This window comes from Homo sapiens, chromosome 6 (genome assembly GCF_000001405.40).
Source record: "Homo sapiens chromosome 6, GRCh38.p14 Primary Assembly".
Taxonomy (NCBI): domain Eukaryota; kingdom Metazoa; phylum Chordata; class Mammalia; order Primates; family Hominidae; genus Homo; species Homo sapiens.
The window spans coordinates 57474092-57495716 of NC_000006.12; the positions used below are offsets into that span (position 1 = coordinate 57474092).

Consider the following 21625-nt stretch of genomic DNA (forward strand, 5'->3'; position numbering starts at 1 on the left):
TAGACTAATCTTCCAAAGCATCAGTTTGTCCATTTGAAAAATGTTTGTGTTTGCTATCTACTTTTTCTGCAATTCTGCTATCTTTTTTTTTTTTTTTTTTTTTTTTTTTTTTGAGCTCTGTCACCCAGGCTGGAGTGCAGTGGCGCCATCTTGGCTCACTGCAAGCTCCGCCTCCCGGGGTTCATGCCATTCTCCTGCCTCAGCCTCTGAGTAGCTGAGACTACAGGCACCTGCCACCATGCCCGGCTAATTTTTTGTTTTTTTAGTAGAGACAGGGTTTCACCTTGTTAGCCAGGATGGTCTCTATCTCCTGACCTCGTGATCTGCCCGCCTCAGCCTCCCAAAGTGCTGGGATTACAGGCGTGAGCCACCGCGCCCAGCTTACTCTGCTATCTTTAAAAACATTTAAAATTTTTTTCATTTTTATGTGTACATAGTAGGTGTATACCTGCCATTTTAAATTTGAATATATTTGGAAATAATACTCTACTTGTGGCGGGTATTCCTAAATGATGTTGCAAGAAGTTAAGCAGGGAGAATACTACTACTGCTGCTGCTGCTGTTTGAATGTGGCCTCTCCCAAATCCAGGTGTTGCCAGTGTGAGACTATTAAGAGGTGGGGGCCTTTAAGAGGTGATTAAAGAGGTGTACTCAGTTTATGATCCCTATTTAATAGGTGAGAAGAAAGTGGAGGCTAGTGTGTGAGAGAGCCCAGGTTTGCCAGACACCAGAGCCAAGCTTTTAACCTATGCTGTTCAGTCTTTTCTCCTACCTCTGTGCACTTCAATGCTGACACTGGCATAGAACTCCTGGTAGCATACTCTTTTTTTCCAGGGGAGCATATTGACTTGATTTGCTTTAGATTCTTTGTTTCTTTCCTCCCAATATTGAGCATTAGGCAATCGGCTGCTCTGGGCATCGTTTATTTGCGTGCAGTGGAATAGGCACTGAGGAATGCAGGCATGCTTTGAGGCTCCGTCATGAAGGGAGAGCCAGAAGGGCCTATGGAGAACAATTAATATGTTTCCTCTCACAGATATAAATACAGTTTGATTGGTGACTGTATTTTCTTTTAGCCTCCTCCCTTCCTCCTCCTACAACTTTTTTGTAATCAGTTTCGAAGTATAACTCACATATCATACAATTACTCATTTAAAGTATATAATTCAATGGTTTTTAAGTGTTCACAGAGTTGTGCAACCATCACTTCAATTTCAAAACATTTTCATCATCCCCAAAAGAAACCCTGTAACTATTAGCTTTCATCCCCAATCTACCCATCCTCCCAGACCTAGACAAACACTAATCTACTTTCCCACTCCATAGATTTGCGTATTTTGGACATTTCATATAAATGGAATCATATGTGGTCTGTTGTGACTGGTTTCTTTCAGGTAGCACGTTTTTAAGGTTCATCCATTTTGTAGCATATGTCAGTACTCCATTCTTTTTTACTGCTGAATGATATTTCATCGTGTGCATATACCAGAATAATGACTGTTTTCTAGCTTGTGCATTTCACTTCTCAAACTCCCAGCATTGTTTTGACTGCCACAGCCAACGTCCTGCCCCTCACTAATACAGGACATAATAGGCCCAGAGCATGTCAAGGATTTTCCAAAGTTGCATAGCTAGACTATGGGTAAAATGGAACTATTCATTCTTTTGCACATTTATCACATTTTTATTGAGTGCCTAACATGCAAAACACTATGTTAGGTTTTATGATATATACAAACGTAAGAGACATGGCACGTTTCCTTAAAGAACTTAGGATCCTCTAGGGATGTTGAAATATGAAGCAATCTGTGTCTGTGCCCTAAGTGTGTCATGGGCAAAGTCAGGTTCAGAAGAAGGAGAGAATTGTTTCTGTTTGTGATTTGTGGCTACCAGTTTTCCTGACTCCTAGGTCAGTGTTGTTGTTGTTGTTGTGGTTTTGTTTGTGTTTTTTTAAAAAAATCATTACCTTACCTCTCTGATGTCGCTTTGGGTGTCCTAGATACACTCTATATTCTACAGGTTTATTCCCATCTCCCTACCCCCTCATGAACTTAAATATTAAACATGAGTCATTATTGGAATTATTGTAGTTTAAAACTAATAAATAGTAAAATTATTGGAATCTTGAAGGTCATGGGTCATAATGGACTTAAAAATTTTAGTGTCAGTACCCAGTTGTCCAGAATTTAGAATTGGTAAAATACGTTCAGCTACCAAAATTGCGCAGTGATATCATCCTGTTTAATTCAGCTGGAATTTAAGTTAATGGCAGATTTAATGGATGGGACACTTTGTAGCTTTTGCAGACCCTGATAAGCTTTACATAAATACCAAGTTGCAGCTACTTGAGTGAACTACAGTTCCACAAGAGAAATTCACTTTAGGATATTTTGAAATACCATTCATCTGCTTCAGTTAGATATTTTAGGTACCATGCCATTCTTTCCTATTTATTAATGTTATATAATATTATACCATGTAAAAAGTATTAGAACGTAACCATCATTGTATTTGCATTATAGCATAATCAGCTGTGAAAGATGAATTTTCAGATGTATACTTATAGTACTCTTTGCTAAAAATTCTGTAGGCCACCCTGACTCATTGGTTATAATATTGTGTAGTATAAGTAATTGCATGATGTGATTATTTTTATATTTATTTATTTATTTTTGAGATGGGGTTCACTCTTGTTGCCCAGGCTGGAGTGCAATGGTGCGATCTCGGCTCACTGCAACCTCCGCCTTCTGGGTTCAAGTGATTCTCCTGCCTCAGCCTCCCAAGTAGGTGGGATTACAGGCATGAGCCACCATGCCCAGCCTCATTATGTGATTTAAAACTTTATAATAAACTGTAAGAAACCAAAAACAGATTTTACTCATGAATTTTATGAATGAGTTGGATTTTAAGAGATTTATTTATTGGGCCTCACTCTGTCACCAAGGCTGGATTGCAGTAGCGTGACCACAGCTCACTCCAGCTTCAACCTCCTGGGCTTCATCGATCCTCCCACTGCAGCCTCCTGAATAGCTGGGACCCCAGGTGCTTGCCACCATGCCCAGCTGATTTTTAATTTTTGTTTTATAGAAACAGAGTCTCCTATGTTGCCCAGGCTGGTCTTGAACTCCTGGGCTCAAGCAGTCCTCCCACCTCAGCCCCCTAAAGTTCTGGGATTATAGGCATGAGCTACTACTGTGCCTGGCCTAGTTTTATGAAATTGAATTCCTAGTTTTTGAAAATGATAAGTTATATATTGCTTACAAATACTACTTAATAGTTACAGTTTGGGGCGTATGTATTCATTTAAAAGTAGTATAAAGGTATTTTTAGAATTAATAACGTCAAATATCGTACAATATTATTCAGCAAAATTAAAATCCATAGAAGATAGCCTTTCTACTACTTTTCACAAGAAACCAGAATGCTTTCCATTTCTATAACATTTGTTGCTTAAAATATTTAAGTGAGCATTTATTTTTATGCCTTGTTGACACATAATTTTTTCATATTCACATATGTCTTAGCTAAATACTACTATTGTTAACAACACTACTCGTAATAGATATTTTAGTTAAATTGATATTTTAGTTGAAGACTATAGATTCTTTATTTAAGGGTAGACTGGTAGACAGGAGGTTATAGTAGTGAGAGTATTGGAGAGGCTGGTAAGGAAAGACTTATTTGTTTAAAACCAGATGATAACCTCTGTGAAGGATAAAGCAAAGTTTGTCTTTGTGATTATAAGCAATATTTTTAAAAAGTATTATAACCCCTATTTGTGTTGTAAGCTGTTTGCATCTTTTATAGCATAGTATTCCCTGTTCATAACGGATCATCTATGTCAGTGATATTGCACAATCATGCACTGCACTAAAATATAAATAAAAATAAATGAAATAACAATAGTAATAGCTAATGTTGATTGTTTTCTGTAAGTCTGATAACGTGTATGTTTAATACCCGTAATACTATGAGGTGTAGAGATTTCTCACTTTACAAATGAAGAAACTAAGGCACAGAAAGGTAAAGCAGTTTGTTAATGATCACTTAAACTTGATTAATCCCCTTATCTGTGTTCTTGACCTGCTATACTGCCTTTTAAAAAAATTACTCTATATTCCTTTTCTCAAACATGAAATACTGTATATTTTTTGTAACAAGTTGAACAAGTAAGAAAGAGGTACGTTGCCACTTAGACTATACATTTCATTTTATTAGTTGTTGTTGTGGTTGTGTTTTTTTTTTGTTTTTTTTTTTTTGAGAGAGATTCTTGTTCTCTCATCCAGACTGGGGTGCTGGGGCATGGTGGCATGATCATAGCTCACTGCAGCCTCGAACTCCTGTGCTCAAGTCTTCCTCCTGCCTCTGCCTCCTGGGTAGCTGGGACTGCAGGCAAGAGTCAGAGTGCCTGGCTGCATGTACATTTTTTGATACATACAAAAACACATATGAGTTTTTTAGAAATTAACATACTCTACTAAAATTATTTAATCTTGACTTTGTATGAAAGTACCTTCTTCTTAGTTGGAAATTTGCAAGTGATTTTAGGTTGGCCTGTGCACTAGAATTTATATTGACTTTGAATTAGACAGACATGGGTTTGAGTCTTGACCTGCCAGCGTACTGTGTTCCCTTAGACAAGCTCTTTAACATCTCTGAGCCTAAGTTTCCTCATCTGTAAAGTAGTTATCATTTTTTCCAGGGTTCTGTTCTTGTCTTAAAGATGAAAGATAATCGATTAAACGATACTCTGGTTAAAGATTTATTACATTCGGCTGGGCGCGGTGGCTCACGCCTGTAATCCCAGCACTTTAGGAGGCCAAGGTGGGCGAATCACCTGAGGTCGGGAGTTCGAGATCAGCCTGACCAACATGGAGAAACCCCATCTCTATTAAAAATACAAAATTAGCCGGGTGTGGTGGCACATGCCTGTAATCCCAGCTACTTGGGAGGCTGAGGCAGGAGAGTTGCTTGAACCTGGGAGATGGAGTTTGCTGTGAGGCGAGATCGTGCCATTGCACTCCAGCCTAGGCATCAAGAACAAAACTCCACCTAAAAAAAGAAAAAAGGATTTATTACAGTCATTCCGTATAATTTTGAGTCACTAAAAACGGAAAGAAACCCCATAAATTAAGAATAGATAATCAGAACTGATTTGTGTGTTGGTTGATAATTCTGAGCATTAACTGACTTTCTTATATAGTAATCCATTTGAAATTGGTTGATTGGCCATAATTACTTGGTTAATGTGTTGTAGACTACTAAAAAAAAAGCATCAAACTTTAAAACAATTCTTTCAAGAATAACAGGAATAGGAAAAGTTACAGGTACACTGCTTTTATTCATAGCCCTTTTATGATTCATCTTGTTTTTCAGGTCTTAACTGAGAGAGAACTAATTATTTTTTTCTGTCTGAGTAGGTGATAGTTTCCAGCTGTTCTTTGCAGATTTTTAAAAGCTACGTTTTTAAGTGCAATTTAATGTTCTTATTACTGTATTACAGAGGGAAAAGGTTTGCTCTCTCTTTCACAGCTGTATATATTATCCCATACACGTGTGGCCTTTAAAGAACATTCAAATGCGCCACTGTCCTCATTATGGAGCTCAGATGGCTGAGGATATAGTGGATAAAGACCTGGCAACATTTTTAAGAGTGTGTATGTGTTGTGGTTTTTTGGTTGTTGTTGTTTGCTTATCTGTAAACTACTTTGCCTTTTGTAAATCCAGCTAATATATATTGCAAGGTCACCAGCCGCGTGGTAGGCAAGATGAAGTCTGAAGGGAAGCTAAAGCAACTAACTATGGTATCAGGCAGAATACGATAATTTACATTACAGAGTAAGTAGTGTTCAGAGGAAAGGAGAGAGAATGTCTGGATGAAGAAACCAAAGAAGGCAATTTGAAAGGGACCTGAGAAATGAGGAAGATTTATCAAGAGATGGGGATGGAGTATAAAGAGGTAGTTAGGCAGATGCTGTAGGTAGAGAGAATCTTGTGGGCTGAGAGTTGGTGTCATAAATGCATGACATGTGTTTAGAGTATGGCAAAGATTCACTTGGAAGTAAGGAGAGGTGAAGAGTGTGGAACAGTGTGAGGAGGTTGAAGTCTGAGTACATTTCTATTTAATTTAGTAAGCAGTGGAAAACTATGACTTTTTAAATTTAGTTTTTCTTCTTCCTTTTTATTATTTGTAAGCTTTTTATCTTGAAACAGTTTTACATACACAGGAAGTTGAAAAAGAAATGTATAGAGGAGTCCAGTGTATCCTTCACCCAGTTCCCCCCAGTGAAAACATCTTGCATAACTTTAGGTATAATAAAAAAAACTAGGAAATTAATGTTAGTACACAGAGCTATTTAGTCTTCATCAGTTTCACATGCACTTGTGTGTGCTTGTGTATGTGAGTATGGAATTTTATCATATTTATGGATTCATGTAACCATCACTACAAGACTTCCCTTTATCTATACTCACTTTCTCCAACTCCCCACCTCCTATGCTTGTCAGACACTAACTTATTCTCCATTTCTCTGATTTTCTTTTCTTCTTCCTTTTTGAGATGGAGTCTCACTCTGTCGCCAGGCTGGAGTGCAATGGTGCGATCTCCGCTCACTGCAACCTCCGCCTCCCAGGTTCAAGCAATTCTCCTTTCTCAGCCTCCCGAGTAGCTGGTACTACAGACGCATGTCACCACGCCCAGCTAGTTTTTGTATTTTTAGTATAGACAGGGTTTCACCATGTTGCCAGGACGGTCTCCATTTCCTGACCTTGTGATCTGCCTGGCTCTGCCTCCCGAAGTGCTGAGATGACAGGCGTGAGCCATCGCACCCGGCCCATTTCTTTAATTTTCTTATTTCAAGAATATTATATAAGTGGAATTATATAACTTTTAACTTTTTAAAAAATTTTGAAATAATCATAGGTTCATAGAAAGTTGCAAATGTAGTACAGAGAGGTCCTTCTCACTTCACTCAGTTTGCCCGAGTGGTTACATCTTACATTAACTATATTATAATATCAAAACCAAGAAGTTTACACTGGTACAATATGTGTTCATATAGTTCTATGCTGTCTTATCATGTGAAAATTTGTGTAGCCATCCCTGCAAGAAAGATACAGAACTATTTAATCATTACAAAGATTTTCCTCATTCTACCCTGTTATAGTCATAGCACCCCATCCTTAATCCCTGGCAACCACTGATGTGTTTTCCATAAATTTTGTCACTCCAGAAATGTTATGTATATATAGACTCATACAGTATGTACATTTTAAGATTGGCTGTTTTGTTGTTGTTGTTCAGGATAATGCCCTGGAGATCCATCCAAGTTGTTGCATATATCAATAGTTTGCTTCTTTATAAATCACTGCATAGTATTTGTTTAACCATTTATCTGTTGAAGGGCATTGAATTATTTCTCGTTTTTGGCTATTACAAATAAAGCTGCTATCAACATTTGTGTACAGGTTTTTGTGCGAACATAGGTTTTTGGGTTTTTTTTTTTCATTTCCTTGTGACAAACGCCCAAGAGTATAAATGTTGGGTCATATGTTAATTGCATATTCCATTTTTAAAGAAACTGCCAAATGGTCCAGAGTGACTATACTATTTCACATTCCCACCAGCAATGTAGGAGTGACTCTGGTTTTGTATTCTTACTGGCATTTGGTGTCATCACTGTTTTATTTTTGCTCTTCTGATAGGTGTCTAGTAGTATCTCATTATGGTCTTGATTTGCCTTTTCCTAATGGCTAATGATGTTGAACTTTCTTTTTCTATTACAGACTTTTTGTGTTAGAAACAGACATGATTCGGGATGATTTTTTTCCTGGCTTACATGAGGAGAGAAATAAGAGATAAGGAGGTTAGGTTAGAAGCTGTTGAACTAGTCTAGTTGGGAACTTCAGAAGGCTTCGTGGGTGGCCAGTGTGAGAACAGAGAGAATGATGGGTAAGTCTGCATGGCTGGGATGGGAAGGATTATGGAAAGAAAAAGTAAGATGAAAATTTGGGTATTGATGCCTGGTGACCAAAGGGTCAAGATATTGTTGACAAAAATAATTTGGATTTTTTTTTTTTTTTGTAATTTAGGGGAAAATGATGAGTTTGGTTTGCAGTATGGTCATTTTGAGTGCAGATAGGTTGTTTAAATTGAGTTGTTCAGAAAGAAGTTATAAATCTGAGTCTGTAGCTTAGAAAGGTTATGGCTAGAATTATTTGAAAATCAAATATAGAGGGACGATAATTTATATTTTTCTTGGGGAAGAGCACTAGTAAGCAAAAGAAATATATAAATCAGAGATTCAGAAGAAAACCTGGTTGGGGGGACCAATTTAATAGACATTGGTGGTCAGCACAGTGACATCCTATGGAAGACTGAGGAATATAAGCACAGAAGAAAGGTGCTGAGGGCAGTTTCAGTTCATTGGTATATGCAAAGGCCAAATCTTAAGGTATTAAGGTGTGTATATGTGAACAATACATTCAGGGATTTTTTCTTTTTTTAAACACAGGAGAAACGTTTATATAAAGAGAAAAGAGGAACCAGTAGTACCGTGAAAGATTGAAGATGCGTGTGAGGGCAAATTATCTCAAAGCTACAGAGCAAAGATGCTTGATAAGAGAAGGAAGATGTGAGGGGCACATTAGGGACAGCATCAAGAGACAGGAGAAAGTATCAGCTTTGTCAAGGAGATTAAATACCTATTTTATAGACTCAAGAGGGAAGTAAAAAGTCTACCAAACACAAGGATTTTTTTGAGGCGAGAGGCTGAGGACCAGCATCAGATGGTCTCCTTGATCCTCTTAGGAAAGTAGATTTTTTTTTGTTGTTGTTAAGATGGAATCTTGCTTTGTCGCACAGGCTGGAGTGCAGTGGTGCCATCTCTGCTCACAGCAGCCTCCGCCTCCTGGGTTCAATCTATTCTCGTGCCTCAGCCTCCAGAGTAGCTGGGATTACAGGTGTGACACCACGCCTGGCTAATTTTTGTATTTTTATTAGAGATGGGGATTCATCATGTTGGCCAGGCTGGTCTCAAACTCCTGACCTCAGGTGATCTACCAGCCTCGGCCTCCCAAAGTGCTGGGATTACAGGCATGAGCCACTGCGCCCGGATGATTTTTTTTTATAAGACATTTTGGATGATTCTAGATTATTTATTTCCAAAACTATGGCTTTGATTAAAGCCTCAGGATATGAGCACAATACAATCTTTCATTAAAATGTTCAAACAGCAGCAGCAGCAAGAAAGGAATGCCAACAGCATTAACAATATGTCTTATAGTCCTACCAGTGGTTGTTACAAAAGGGACACACACATATCTACCCATATATCTTGCCAGAAGGAACTTATCTTTAATAATATTATGGTGAACATGAAAACATACTAGTCATATAAGATACATAGTTTATAAAAAACCCCACCGAAACCAAACTTTATGAGTCTTGGATAACCCAGAAGCTAGTATTTTTCAGTAATGAGGAGTAGATGAAACGGTCACTGGGCAAGGCAATTGCTAATAATGACTGTTAATTCAGTGTAGATTATGAAGTTCTGCAGGCCTGGGGAGCAAAAGAAGGAAAAGACACATGCAGCAGGAAGAGAATGGGAACAGTGAATGAAGAGGCCGTTTCTTGTATTGCATATAGGGTTTTTGATTAGGAGAGGGAGTGGTTGTTAGTGTTGATCATCAATCACTAAGACCTGGTATTTCAAATAACAAAAGTACCTTTGTTGTAAAGTGAAATATTTATTTTCTTTGAAATGTAAGGTTACATAACTTGCAATGAAATGTAAGCCAGTATTGGTCTAAACTAAACAAAACCATGAGAAGACAATTTAATTGTGATGTAGAAGCAGTAAAAAAGGTAAATAAAGTGGCCTGAGTTTGGTCCTAAAATGATTACGATATTAAATAGTTCTCATGCCGTTAAAATAGTACTAGGCCTTACTTCCTTTTATTCATTGATTTAATAATACCACATGCTATTTCGTGTACTTATTTCTATGGGATTTTGGTTACTATGTATAGCTAAAATTTATTTACTTTATTCTGCTTATTCACAAATAGTGTTTCGACCTGGCTTGAGCTTTATAGGCCTAAAAGCTTTAGCACATGGAACATTAAAACCATGCTTTTCACTTGGATGATTGCATAAAGCCTTTTTATAACAGATTCTAAAGCCTGATGCAGGACAGTATTCACACAGATGTTGAAAGAGTAAGTAACAGAGATAGGGATTGTTGTAGGGTTTATGCTGCTGTTAGCTGTTGTCGTCGCTTTCTTTTTTCTTCCAGAGTATAGAATAAGAAGGCATAGACCTAAGTTTCAACTGAACTCAGTTTGCTTGGACTGAGAAGAAACTCATGTGGTTTCTTGTCACACTCAGAGTTTAAAAAAATCCCAACTCCTAACTGTGATCCAAAAGCATGCTCTGGTCCCTGTGTGTCTGCCTAATTTCATTTTTTAAAACTAGGATTTCTTTGTTCTTTTTTAGCCATACCATTTTGTTGTTGTTTCAGGGCCTTAAACTTGGTTTTTCCTTCACTATGGACCATTCCTTTCTGGTTTTTCTGTGACTCTCCAAATACAGGTGCTTTAGGCCCTTTACATTTGCTTTTTCTTCATCCTTCAGTATTTTCCCCCTAGTTCTTTGACCTTTATTCAGGTCTGTTTCCTCAAGTGTCTCCTTCTCAGATAAATTTTTCCTGTCTAAAATAGCCTTTTGGTCCCAACCTTCCCTTATTACTCCCCACTCCCTTACCAGATTGTTTTCATTATAGCAGTTAATTATATCTGACAGTCAATTTTGTATTTGTTTCCACCATTAGAAGACAGGGACTTTGCCTTGTTCATGTCTCTGTCCTTAGCATCTAGAATAGTGACTGTCAGGGAGTAATCTAGTCAAAGTACTCAAAAAAGTACTGTTGAATGGATGCAGGCTTGCCTAATTAAGTTGTAAGGACAAGTTACGATGGAGCCATTATTTAGGAGATATTTGAATATGGGTTAGTTAGGTGGGATGATAAGTAGAGGGGTGAATATCCATGGTAGAGATTGAGATTCCATGAACATGTGACAGACTGGGAAATCATACTTTCACATCCTTCTGGCCACCGTGGTTAGTCTAGGGCAGCTTGACCCAAATTGAACTTAACCCAAATTGAGCTAGGCAGAGTACCTAGCTTTATTCTATGAGGCCCTGCCCTTGCCCTGTTTACCTTAACTCTTCCTTAGATCCTGTAAGCTGCTGCAACCTGGAATCCTTTTGATACTGCTGTTTTCCCCTCTTTGGGTAGTTAGAATTTGGTTTCTATTCTTTGTCCATGTAAGAGTTCTGCCTAATATCAAGGGGTAGAGATAGGTCATGTGAATTAGGTTGGAGTTAGATGTATGTTTGTAACTATTAACATTAGACCTGAGCAAGTATTGGTTTATGCAAAGGGCTGATATATGCAGTACTGCATTTTCTTGTCCTTTTAATTTTAGGTCTCTAAGACAGAGTAGAAGCTATGGGAAAAAAATGTATGTCTATATGTTAGGAGTTCTTAGGTTATAGGAAATCTGAGCATCTGTAGTAGTCCACATATCATTATCAATGGCTAGAGAATCTATCCACTTATCTGGTTGGCATTTAACGAGTGTGTACCATGTGTAGGACATTTTCCTTACATACAAAGGTTAATTAATTCATTTTACAGAGACACTTATTGAATGAAAACTCCATGCTGTGTTTTGCAGGGTCACAGTTAAACAAGCCCTGGCTTCCCCCTTAAAGGAGCTTACAGTCCAAGAGAGTGAGCATGACAAGCAAACAGATTTGTGCAAAGCAGCATAGGAGTGTGTGTTGCAGGGATGCCAAGAAGGGAGTCATCAGTTCTAAGGTTAAGATAGGAGAAATTTCTTGGAAGGTTCTTAAGAGATGGAAAAGTTAAATAGGTGTTTGGCAGAGAGAGGTATTGGGTGTTTGTGGAAGGAGAATTGGAATTCCAAAGAGTAAAGGTGTGGAAGTGCTGGACCAGTGGAGGAGATGTCATTCAGAATGTCTGGAGAGTATAGCCTAAAGGGAAGAAGTGTCAGGTGAGGAATGGGACAGAAGAGGAGGCCGAAAGAGGGAGAACAGGCTAAAGAGTTGGGACTGTATATGGAGGGTAGTAAGGAGTCATTTAACCCATTTATGCATAGTGTTCCATTATTGGAACGTTAAGCTTGTGGGGGTTATTTATATCCTGCTCATGGTCATCGCCAAGGTCTGATTTTTCACAAAACAATTTGCAACCTACGGCATGAATGGGTTAAGAGACTTATTCAAGGAAATAGTGGAACATATTTGTATTTTGGCAGGTTCCCTGCCATGACAAAGTAAAGAATGGGCTGGAGGCAGGAAGACCACGGAAAGCAGATAATCTGAAGCCTTATGTTCTTAGTCACAGATCCGTCCTTAGGGAAAGTGAGGCCTTGCCTGAGCAGAGGCTCTAGATGGGCGGATTGAACTTCATGAGGATGCTGAGCACAGTGAACACATTCCTGATGTGTCCAGTATATATGGCATGTTCAACTCCCCCAACAGTTGTATTATCTTTATAGCTCAGCCAGTCATATTTCGCATTAAACGACAAACCTAGGCATCAGAAATGAGACCTTGGAAAACAGCTAGATAACTAGCATTGACATAGGAATTATTGTGTAACAACTTGGCTTGGTGAGATGGATGTCTGGGGAAAATGGATGAAAATTGAGTAGACACTCAATAAATATTTCTGTGGTTGGTTATTTATATAAAAGCCTTAATCTTTTTTCCCCTTACATAGAGTGTACATTTGATTTCTTCTAGTGTGAATCATAAGGATTTGTTTTTCATATTCAGAAAATAAAGCAGTTGAGAAAATTGTGTGATGAATGGCAAAAGCATTTAATGTTTATTTTTGGTGACTTTTATGTAGCCCTTGAAGTTTTATAGTCATTGTTACATCAGGAAAACAATTTAAAAGATCACTAGTCAAGTTCTAACAATTCCCCTAGAAAGTTACAACAAAAATGACTTCTAATAAGCTTGTTTAATATTAAATTTAATTGGAATAAGCACTCGATTTTGAATTAGTGTCTTCAAGTTTACCATCTTCTATGACATATTCATGTTGTTAAAGATGGACAAGAAGATGGAAACTTCCGTGTTGCCCAGGCTGGAGTGCAGTGGTGTGATCTTGGCTCACTGCAACCCGGGCCTCCCAGGTTCAAGCTATTCTCCTGCTCAGGCTCCTGAGTAGCTGGGACTACAGGTGCATGCCGCCATGCCTGGCTAATTTTTGTATTTTTAGTAGAGATGGGGTTTTACCATGTTGCCCAGGCTGGTCTCAAGCTCCTTGCCTCAAGTGATCCTCCCACCTTGGCTTCCCAAAGTGCTGGGATTACAGGCATGCGCCACTGCCCCTGGCCTGATCAATGAAATTTGGATCTCAAAATTATTTTTATGGTACTACAAGCACTACATTTAGAAATAATTAGAAGCAAACACATTTAACTTGTAGAGGAAACATTTTACTAAAAACCATATGGCAATAAATAATTTGATTTTTTTTTAAAGAAGCAAATTGAACACATTGGGGATTGAAATAATTTGAGAATTCTGTAAATGTACTCTTAAAATAATTGTCTCTAGGGTAAGCATGTTAATTCTGAGTGAAGCTCAGTCAATTAATTCGAAATAGGAGAGGTGATAGTAGTGGTGATGGTGGGAGTTTTAGTAGTGTTTGTTACTAGCAGCAGCTACTAGCTTTTAGCACATAGTCCATTGTTTTATATAATGCATATTTGTTGAATTTATAGTTGAAGGCCTGTTTATATGTTCCCTTCATTTATTAATTTTAGTTAATACAGTATAGTTTACAGTAGCTGTGTAAAATTGGGACTAGTACCCTCATTTACAGATGAGGAAATTGAGGCACTAAGGAATGAATTAAAGGTCATATAGCTAGTAAGGGCTAGCATTTGAACTCAGGCGTGTCTGACCTTCAACTCAGGCTTACATCATTTGTTACTATGTTCTTTCCATCTGACTTCTGAATTCCCCTTTCAGTTTTATTTATATTAAAATCCCTAGTATGTAATCTCTGACTACAATCAGAGCATGCATAATATTGATTTTATATTGAAAGAGATTGGAAAAGGAGAACCCCACTAGAATGAATGGCCAATAAGTTTTCTGGTGGTATTGGTTGGAATCCCAGCAAACCACATTTCCCAGGATTATTGCCTTAGCAACAGCCTGCCCGCCTCATCTTTAATCTGCAAAGTAGTCTACTCCAGGAGCAGTGTTCTTGGGAAAACTTTAGTCTATACACCAGGGTTTCAAAGCTGGGCCTTTTTGGCAGTAGAAACTGTAATTAGTTCAAAAGTAGAATGTAGATTAAGTAGTCACTTGGAATTTTACTGAGAAATGATTCTGAGAATGTTTTTGTACTTACCGAGCAAGTGAGACCTGTTACCACCTTCAGGGGAGGAGTCCCACTGTGTGGAGGACAGCAAGGAGCATAACAACACCTACTGTCAGGAGCAGCAGTCCCAGGATGTCAGCCCACCACATGGTTGCAATTGTTGGATTCCTGAAGAGATACACGACTCACACAGGCTGTGGATGGAACAGTCTTTACTCACATAGAGAAGAGGTGGCAAAGTCAGCTTCAGTAGTGAGTTGGTCCCCATGTCCAGCTGGTCTCACCCTGCAGCCAAGGCAGGGAGGTTGTGGGTGTGCCCTCATCCCCTCGTGCTACAGATGAACAACCCTGTTCTCTCCTTGCCAGATATAGCAGTGAGGTTGGCCAGGTACTATATGATGCACATGCTTAAACAGAACAAAGAAATAAACCTCCAGCCCAGAACAGGGAAAGATAGTCCCTAAGAGATATGCGCAGCACAACTTGTGAGAACTCTTTATCTCTTTATAAGGAAATGCAGGCCCAGGCACATCCTTATGTGGCTGTGCAAGGGGCCACAGGCTGCACATGAGTGGGCTTCCCAAGGGTCCTTAAGCTGTAACTGAAACATCTCATGCTTAGGAGTATAACAGAGTTCTCTGTTTTAAGAATTATTCTTAATTATTGGTTATTAGTCTGGCAACTGTATTTGAGATTTGTTTGCATTTTTAAGAGTATGTGTGGTGTTTTAAAAGTGTTAGATTATTTAGGCCGGGTGCAGTGGCTTACGCCTGTAATCCCAGCACTTTGGGAGGCCAGCGCAGGCAGATCATGAGGTCAGGAGATCGAGACCATCCTAGCTAACACGGTGAAACCCCGTCTTTACTAAAAACACAAAAAACTAAGCTGGGCGTGGTGGTGGGCACCTGTAGTCTCAGCTACTCAGGAGGCTGAGGCAGGAGAATGGCGTGAACCCGGGAGGCGGAGCTTGCATTGAGCCGAGATCGTTCCACTGCACTCCAGCCTGGGCGACAGAGTGAGACCCCCGTCTCCAGAAAAAAGAAAAGGGTTAGATTATTTATACTCAGTGTCATGAACTAATCCTTACAGGTAATTCTATTTTCTAATATTTTACCAGTTTCCTACACTGTAGTACAGGGAGCTGTTCCTTTGTTAACTTATTTGGGATTCTGTCAAGTTGGAGAGTTAATATAGGCTGTTGGCTCCTTCTCCCAAAACTAACCATGGAGAAACTACAGAAGTAAGAGGAAAGCAGAGATCTGAGGAAATACCTAAAATAACTATGAAAAATTATAGGGGTGACTGAGGCTGTTGCAAATTGGTATGTCTGTGTATGTGGTTTCGTGTAGGGCGCAGGGTGTCCTGAGGCATCAATCAGGAGAAGCAAAATTGTTTTAAGTGTTTTTTTTTTTTTTTTGTCTTTGAAGTTTGAGGTTTGATGTGACTTTCTCCAATTGCTTTGAGACAATGATTGCCTGCCCCTTGCCACAGAAGTTGGTGTTAGTTGGGTTATTTCAGGGCAGCACTAAAGGCTGATGGGGTGAGGAGCTGATGAAAACAGGTACAAGCCAACCAGCTGCCCCAGGGCACTGACTCCTCCTGGAGCATGCAGATTATACCCTACTGAGATTGCCTTCTTCCAGTGCTGCTGCTTTCTGGGACTTTAAAGGCTAATCCCTTTAAAAGAGTTACCCTTTAAAGGATTTACATTTTAAAGGAGTTTCCTGGTGGTAGGCAGCAAACTGGAGTGATCAAGAGAGATTTTTGTTGCCAGTGGCTCATCCCCTTCATCCTTCTCAAATTCACCAAAAGGGACAGTACTAGGACTTGTGTTTTGGCCATTTTTTTCATGTATGTTTCTAGACCTAGTAGCTCATAGCTTGTGTTGAATATGATCCCAGAAGCCAAAATAAGTATATGGAGAATACAGCCACTATTGAAAATATGAGGAGATAACAAAAGGAATAGTATAGACTTCATGAAGCAGAATTATCGAACCGAGGGATCAATAATTAAAAATAAACATAATAAATGTATTCAGCAATAAAGGACAATAGTAGCAGTGTTAACAAACAAGAAGTCATAAAAAGAACAGAGTAGGAATATTAGATTGACAAATATAGGACCTGAAGTAAAGAGCTTAATCAGATAAATAGGATGGATATAGATAAAAGTGGATTGTTGAACTTGAATATCATGTTGAGGACCTCTGAAGGCAGAAGGAAAAGCAGAGATAGAAAATATATATTTTTTATTTTTGAAGAGACATCTCACTATGTTGCCCAGGTTGGTCTCAAACTCCTGGGCTCAAGCGATCCTTTCACCTCGGCCTGCCAGAGTGTTGGGATTACAGGTGTGAGTCAATGCATCTGGCCCGGCAGAGACAGAAAATATTGAAGAAAGCTAAGAAACATGGAGGGAGAGAGATAATAGTGCTAGCTTTCAAATAATAGAATTCCCAGAAGGGAGAAAAGAATTTGAAGGAGAGAAAAATATTCAAATAAATAATGATGGTAAATTGTTCAGAATTAAGAAAGAACAAAGACTTCACATTCAAAGGGCTAAAAGAGTATCATGAAAGAAAGACAAGAAAAACCCATATCCTGATAAACTGTAGTGTAGTGAAATTTAGGAATATCAAAACCAAAGAAATCTAAAATATTTTAGAATGATAGCATAGATTATCCATATGGAACATGAGTCAGACCAGATTATCTTTTCAGCCCCTATGTTCTCAGTTACTCTGCATATTTGAGGCGAGGGAAATCACCTATATAACGTATAATTCAAAACTTGCAAAAGAAATTTATGAATTCATATTGCATTTGATAAAGTATTTCTCAACATAATAAGGGATATATTTTCTATATAACCTTCCTGATTGAAAAAGATACAGGGTGGCAGGTCATGATACATAACCTTGTAATTTTTTATAACTATTTGGGAGAAGTGACTAGCATTTTTGTTAAAGAGATACATCTCTTTTTACTTTTGGGAGTGTGTACATGCTGTTTTCTTTGATCTCATATTGCAGTATGTATTTTTTAGAAACGTGCTTTTACAGCCATAGATACAATGAAATAGATGATTTTCTAACAATAACATATAACAGAAATGATTTTTAATCACATTGATGCAGGATTTTTGCTCCTTTAGCTCAGCTAGTTTTGGGTTCTTGTCTCACCACCAGGAACATTTAGGCTCACAGGCACCAGAGATTGAGTGGAGTAGAATTTATTAAGCAAAAGGAAAGCTCTCAGCAAAGAGAGGGGTCCTGAATGCAGGTTGCTGGATGCCCCCTCACAGTTGAATACCAGGGCTTTTATTTAAAAGCTGACGAGGCTGGGTTCCTTATTTGTATAAGATGCCAATTCCTGGCAGCTCCACCCAGTCCTTCCAGTGTGCGTGTGGCCCCTTAGTTTGAGCCGCTCCATATGGATTTATTTCCCCTACTGCGCATGTGTTAAGGAATGGAATTTTCTACTGCGGGCATGTTTAGGCAAGCCCCCTGTGTAAGTTCCCTTACCTGCACAAAACATCTGGTGTAAACACTTGTGGGGCGTGTCAGAGGTTGTCCGGGGACCCTTCCCTTACTGTCTGCCTAAAGCAAGATGGCTAACTCCTTTCAACATGTCCTCATGCTCCTAGATTTTAATTCATTTAAATATCATGTTATTATTGCTTGTGTACCGGACAGAAGTCTGTCCAATAGAAATGTGAACCACATATGTAATTTAAAATTTTCTGATCTCACACCTGTAATCCCAGCACTTTGGGAGGCCGAGGCGGGCAGATCACCTGAGGTCAGGAGTTTGAGACCAGCCTGGCCAACATGGTGAAACCCTATCTCTACTAAAAATACAAAAATTAGCAGGGCATGGTGGTGGGTACCTGTAATCCCAGCTACTCAGGAGGCTGAGGCAGGAGAATTGCTTGAACCCAGGAGGCGGAGGCTGCAGTGAGCCCAGATTATGCCACTGCACTCCAGCCTGGGCGACAGAGGGAGAACTCTCTCTAAAAAAAAAAAATAAATAAATAAATAAAAAGATGAAGTTAATTTTAATTTATTTGATTTAACCCAATATATTGCAAATATTGTCATTTTGATATATAATTAGTATACAAAGTTATTGAGATATTTTACATTCTTTTCTCTATGCTAAGTCTTTGAAATTTTGTGTATATTTTATGGCATATCTCAATTTGGACTAGCCACATTTCAAGAACTCAGTAGCCACATGTGGCTAGTAGCTACTGTATTGTCAGCACATCTTTAAAGCAAATAATTGTTCAATATTCTGAGAATTGTTGAGCAACTTAAGAACTGCCTTTAAGACTTCCATTTTATTAAGAATTTGTAGAACTGGATAGTTCTGTAGCAAGTGATACTTGTATCTATTATAGCTTGTAATAAAAAGGAGCATTAATACAGCAATACATTATATGTTTGCTCTAGTTTTAAGGATAGAAATTATGTCAAAGCACATAAATCTACAAAAAGTTCTGAGATTGATTGATTTCTACAGCTTTATTTTCTTAAGTCCAGATAGTTCCGCCTGGATGCTTAACAGGCAGTTCAGACTTAACATGGACAAAACTGAATCTCTCTTAGTTTTTCTTCCAGATTTATTCTTGCTCCTATTAGTGAGTAGCATCTTCATTCTTGCCTTGCATAGGGGCCAAAAAATCATCTGTCTTGATCTGCAGCTAGAATGTTGGTGAAAAGTCACAGCCTACTGTTGTAAATGTCCTGTTTCCTTAAGTCCTTTGTTGCCCGTATGTTTACTATATGTCTTTAACCAAAAATATTTAGTGTACTTTTAGGTAATGTTAATGTAATTTAAAAAATCAGTGGCAACTTATGGCAAATACATGTGTTTTTTGGTAGTTGACTTTAAAATTATGTGAACTCTTTGATAGTTCACATGAGAGCACTGTTGAAGCATCTTAGTAGGATAGATTTTAGTTCATGCTGGCATTAATTTGCATTTGATTAAACTGAGGGAGAAATAAATCAGGCACAAATAGCAGAACAGGAAAATCAAGCTTTACATTTGGTGCTCTGTGCTTTGTCCAGAGGATCTTGTGACCATTCATTCAAAACATTTTACTAAAGAAAACAAAATTTAACTAAGACATGCAAGATGAAAATCTCTCCCTCCTCCTAGTTTTATAACTGTTGGTGGTTCTTTAATTGCAACAAAGTGCATTTTTATTTAAAGATTGTGGCTGCTTCAAAATAATACTATTTGGGGCTTCCTGTGTGTATTGAGACCTCTTGGAACTAACATTGCCTATGGGTTTTTGTTCCTTTTCCCTTTTCCTAGGATGTGTAATGAAACATGAAGACGTCAAGTATAAAGGATGGCAATTGCTCAGACTTGTCCTTTGCTTGTCTGGTTATCCATCAAACACTATCAGTGTGATTGTGCCAGAAAGTATGAAATAATGTTATTGGAAAGTAGTCAGTCAACTGTATGTCCAAGGTCACTTAAAAGTCTCAGCCAGCTGTTCTGATATCAAAGAGCATTTTACAAATATGATATATTAAAATGATTACTCTTAGGAAGTGTATCCCCAAACATGCTTACTTTACCCCAACTCTTGATTTTATGCCTTGGTACTTTGAGTAGGATAGGGCAGGTACAGATAATAGTATGTCACAGTGGTCTAGAATCTACATCCTTCCTGCTTGCAGTATGGTGTTAGCTAGGGTCCATTCCATCACGAAAGTGGCAGCTCATCATTTTGGGCAGTCAGAAGAATAGGCAGTTGTTATAATAGCTACATTGTTTTTTAAAAAACTTATGCAACCAGGTAAGGGTTTTTTCACTTTTAGACCAGCATCTTTTCTTTACCGTAGAATCTAATTATTGTCTCTAATCTAAAAGGAGATAGAAAAATGTAGTAACCTAAAGGAAACAAAGAATAAGAAAAATATCTACTTTTCGTAAGAAAGGAATTTTGCATGTAATTTGATTTACTAGGTGACCTAAGTTAACAGGGAACTGATTTATATTTTTACTGGTATTAATACATTAAATTCAGGGGTTTCTGTGTTGTTAAAGGAATTCTGTGTCATTTGAAACTTCTATGAATTTAGAAATGAGAAGACATCAGTGATCTAGGTGGCTACTTGTGATGATTCCTAGTTTTGTAAGGAAAATAAAAAGGAGATGGAAAAAGGATTTGGAACAACCCTGATGTGTTTGTTACAACATTTCAAAATATGTCTATTTCATTTTCCTTCCAACATCCTCAATAATATTAAATGAGTTTTGTCTCTAAATTTGTGATGAATTAAACATTTGTGAAATGCATCCTATGTAATGTTGGATCAGAAGGCTGAGGTGAAAATTCCAATTGACATAAATGTGCTTATCACAGTGAAGACATTATACTTTTCTATTTTCATTTCATAATCAATGGTTTGTATTGATTTTTCTGTGTTAGCAATGGAAATTATTTACTTTTCTTGTTCTGTTTTGTTTTAAATATAATTAGGAAAGTTTTATAATTAATCACAAGGCTCTAGTTTTAATAGGCAAAACATGTTTATGTGTAATTGAAGTTAGTCACATAGTTTAAGAAGCTCCCTTTAGAAGGGCTTAAAAATAGAAATCCTTTAGTAGAGCAACAAAATTATGTAATAGTCTCATTTATTTTTAAAGAAAAACTGTAGTATTAGTTTATGAATAAAGAAAATAGCTTAAATTTAAACTAAACCGAATGAGTCCAAAAATAGTGCAATATCTGATTATTTCAGTTAGATAAATAAACTGAGTGAGATGTAGAGGCACACTGGGCTGTTCTATATTTTAAAACATTTTCAACATCTACAAAGGCAAGATATCTATCAAGGAAGACATCATTGTGCTCTAAGAGAGCAGAGAAAATTAAGTCACAGAGGCAAGGAAAAGTAGCTGAAGTACTAACCAAATGAATACTTTCTGCAGCATCTGTTAACATAAACATTAGAGGTATGTTGTTAGCCATCTGGGGCTACCATTCTTGAATTATACATTTGGATCAGTGGTTTGAGGTTCAGCTGTTGGGGAAATGGAAATCTTTATGTATTCTTGTTGATTACTTGCCCTTCAGTTCTTCAAGTGCATTTCCAAGGACTATGTTTTGTTACACAACAGATTACTGTTACTGAGGCATTAGTAATAATCTTGTCCACCTCCTAC

At 38.0% G+C, this 21625-nt stretch overlaps 1 protein-coding gene across 7 annotated transcripts in view; it reads left to right on the forward strand.

Moving 5' to 3' along the window:
* Positions 1–21625, forward strand: part of PRIM2 (DNA primase subunit 2) — a 425311-nt gene that overhangs the window by 252552 nt on the left and 151134 nt on the right. Inside the window, exon 1 of one of the 7 annotated variants that reach the window (XM_047418991.1) lies at positions 13459–14687. The exons of the other annotated variants lie outside the window; for them this stretch is intronic. Coding sequence (XP_047274947.1) covers positions 14568–14687 — 120 coding nt within the window. The 5' untranslated portion in view covers positions 13459–14567. Of the gene's footprint in view, positions 1–13458; positions 14688–21625 lie in introns of those variants that run through there. 7 annotated transcript variants of the gene reach the window in all.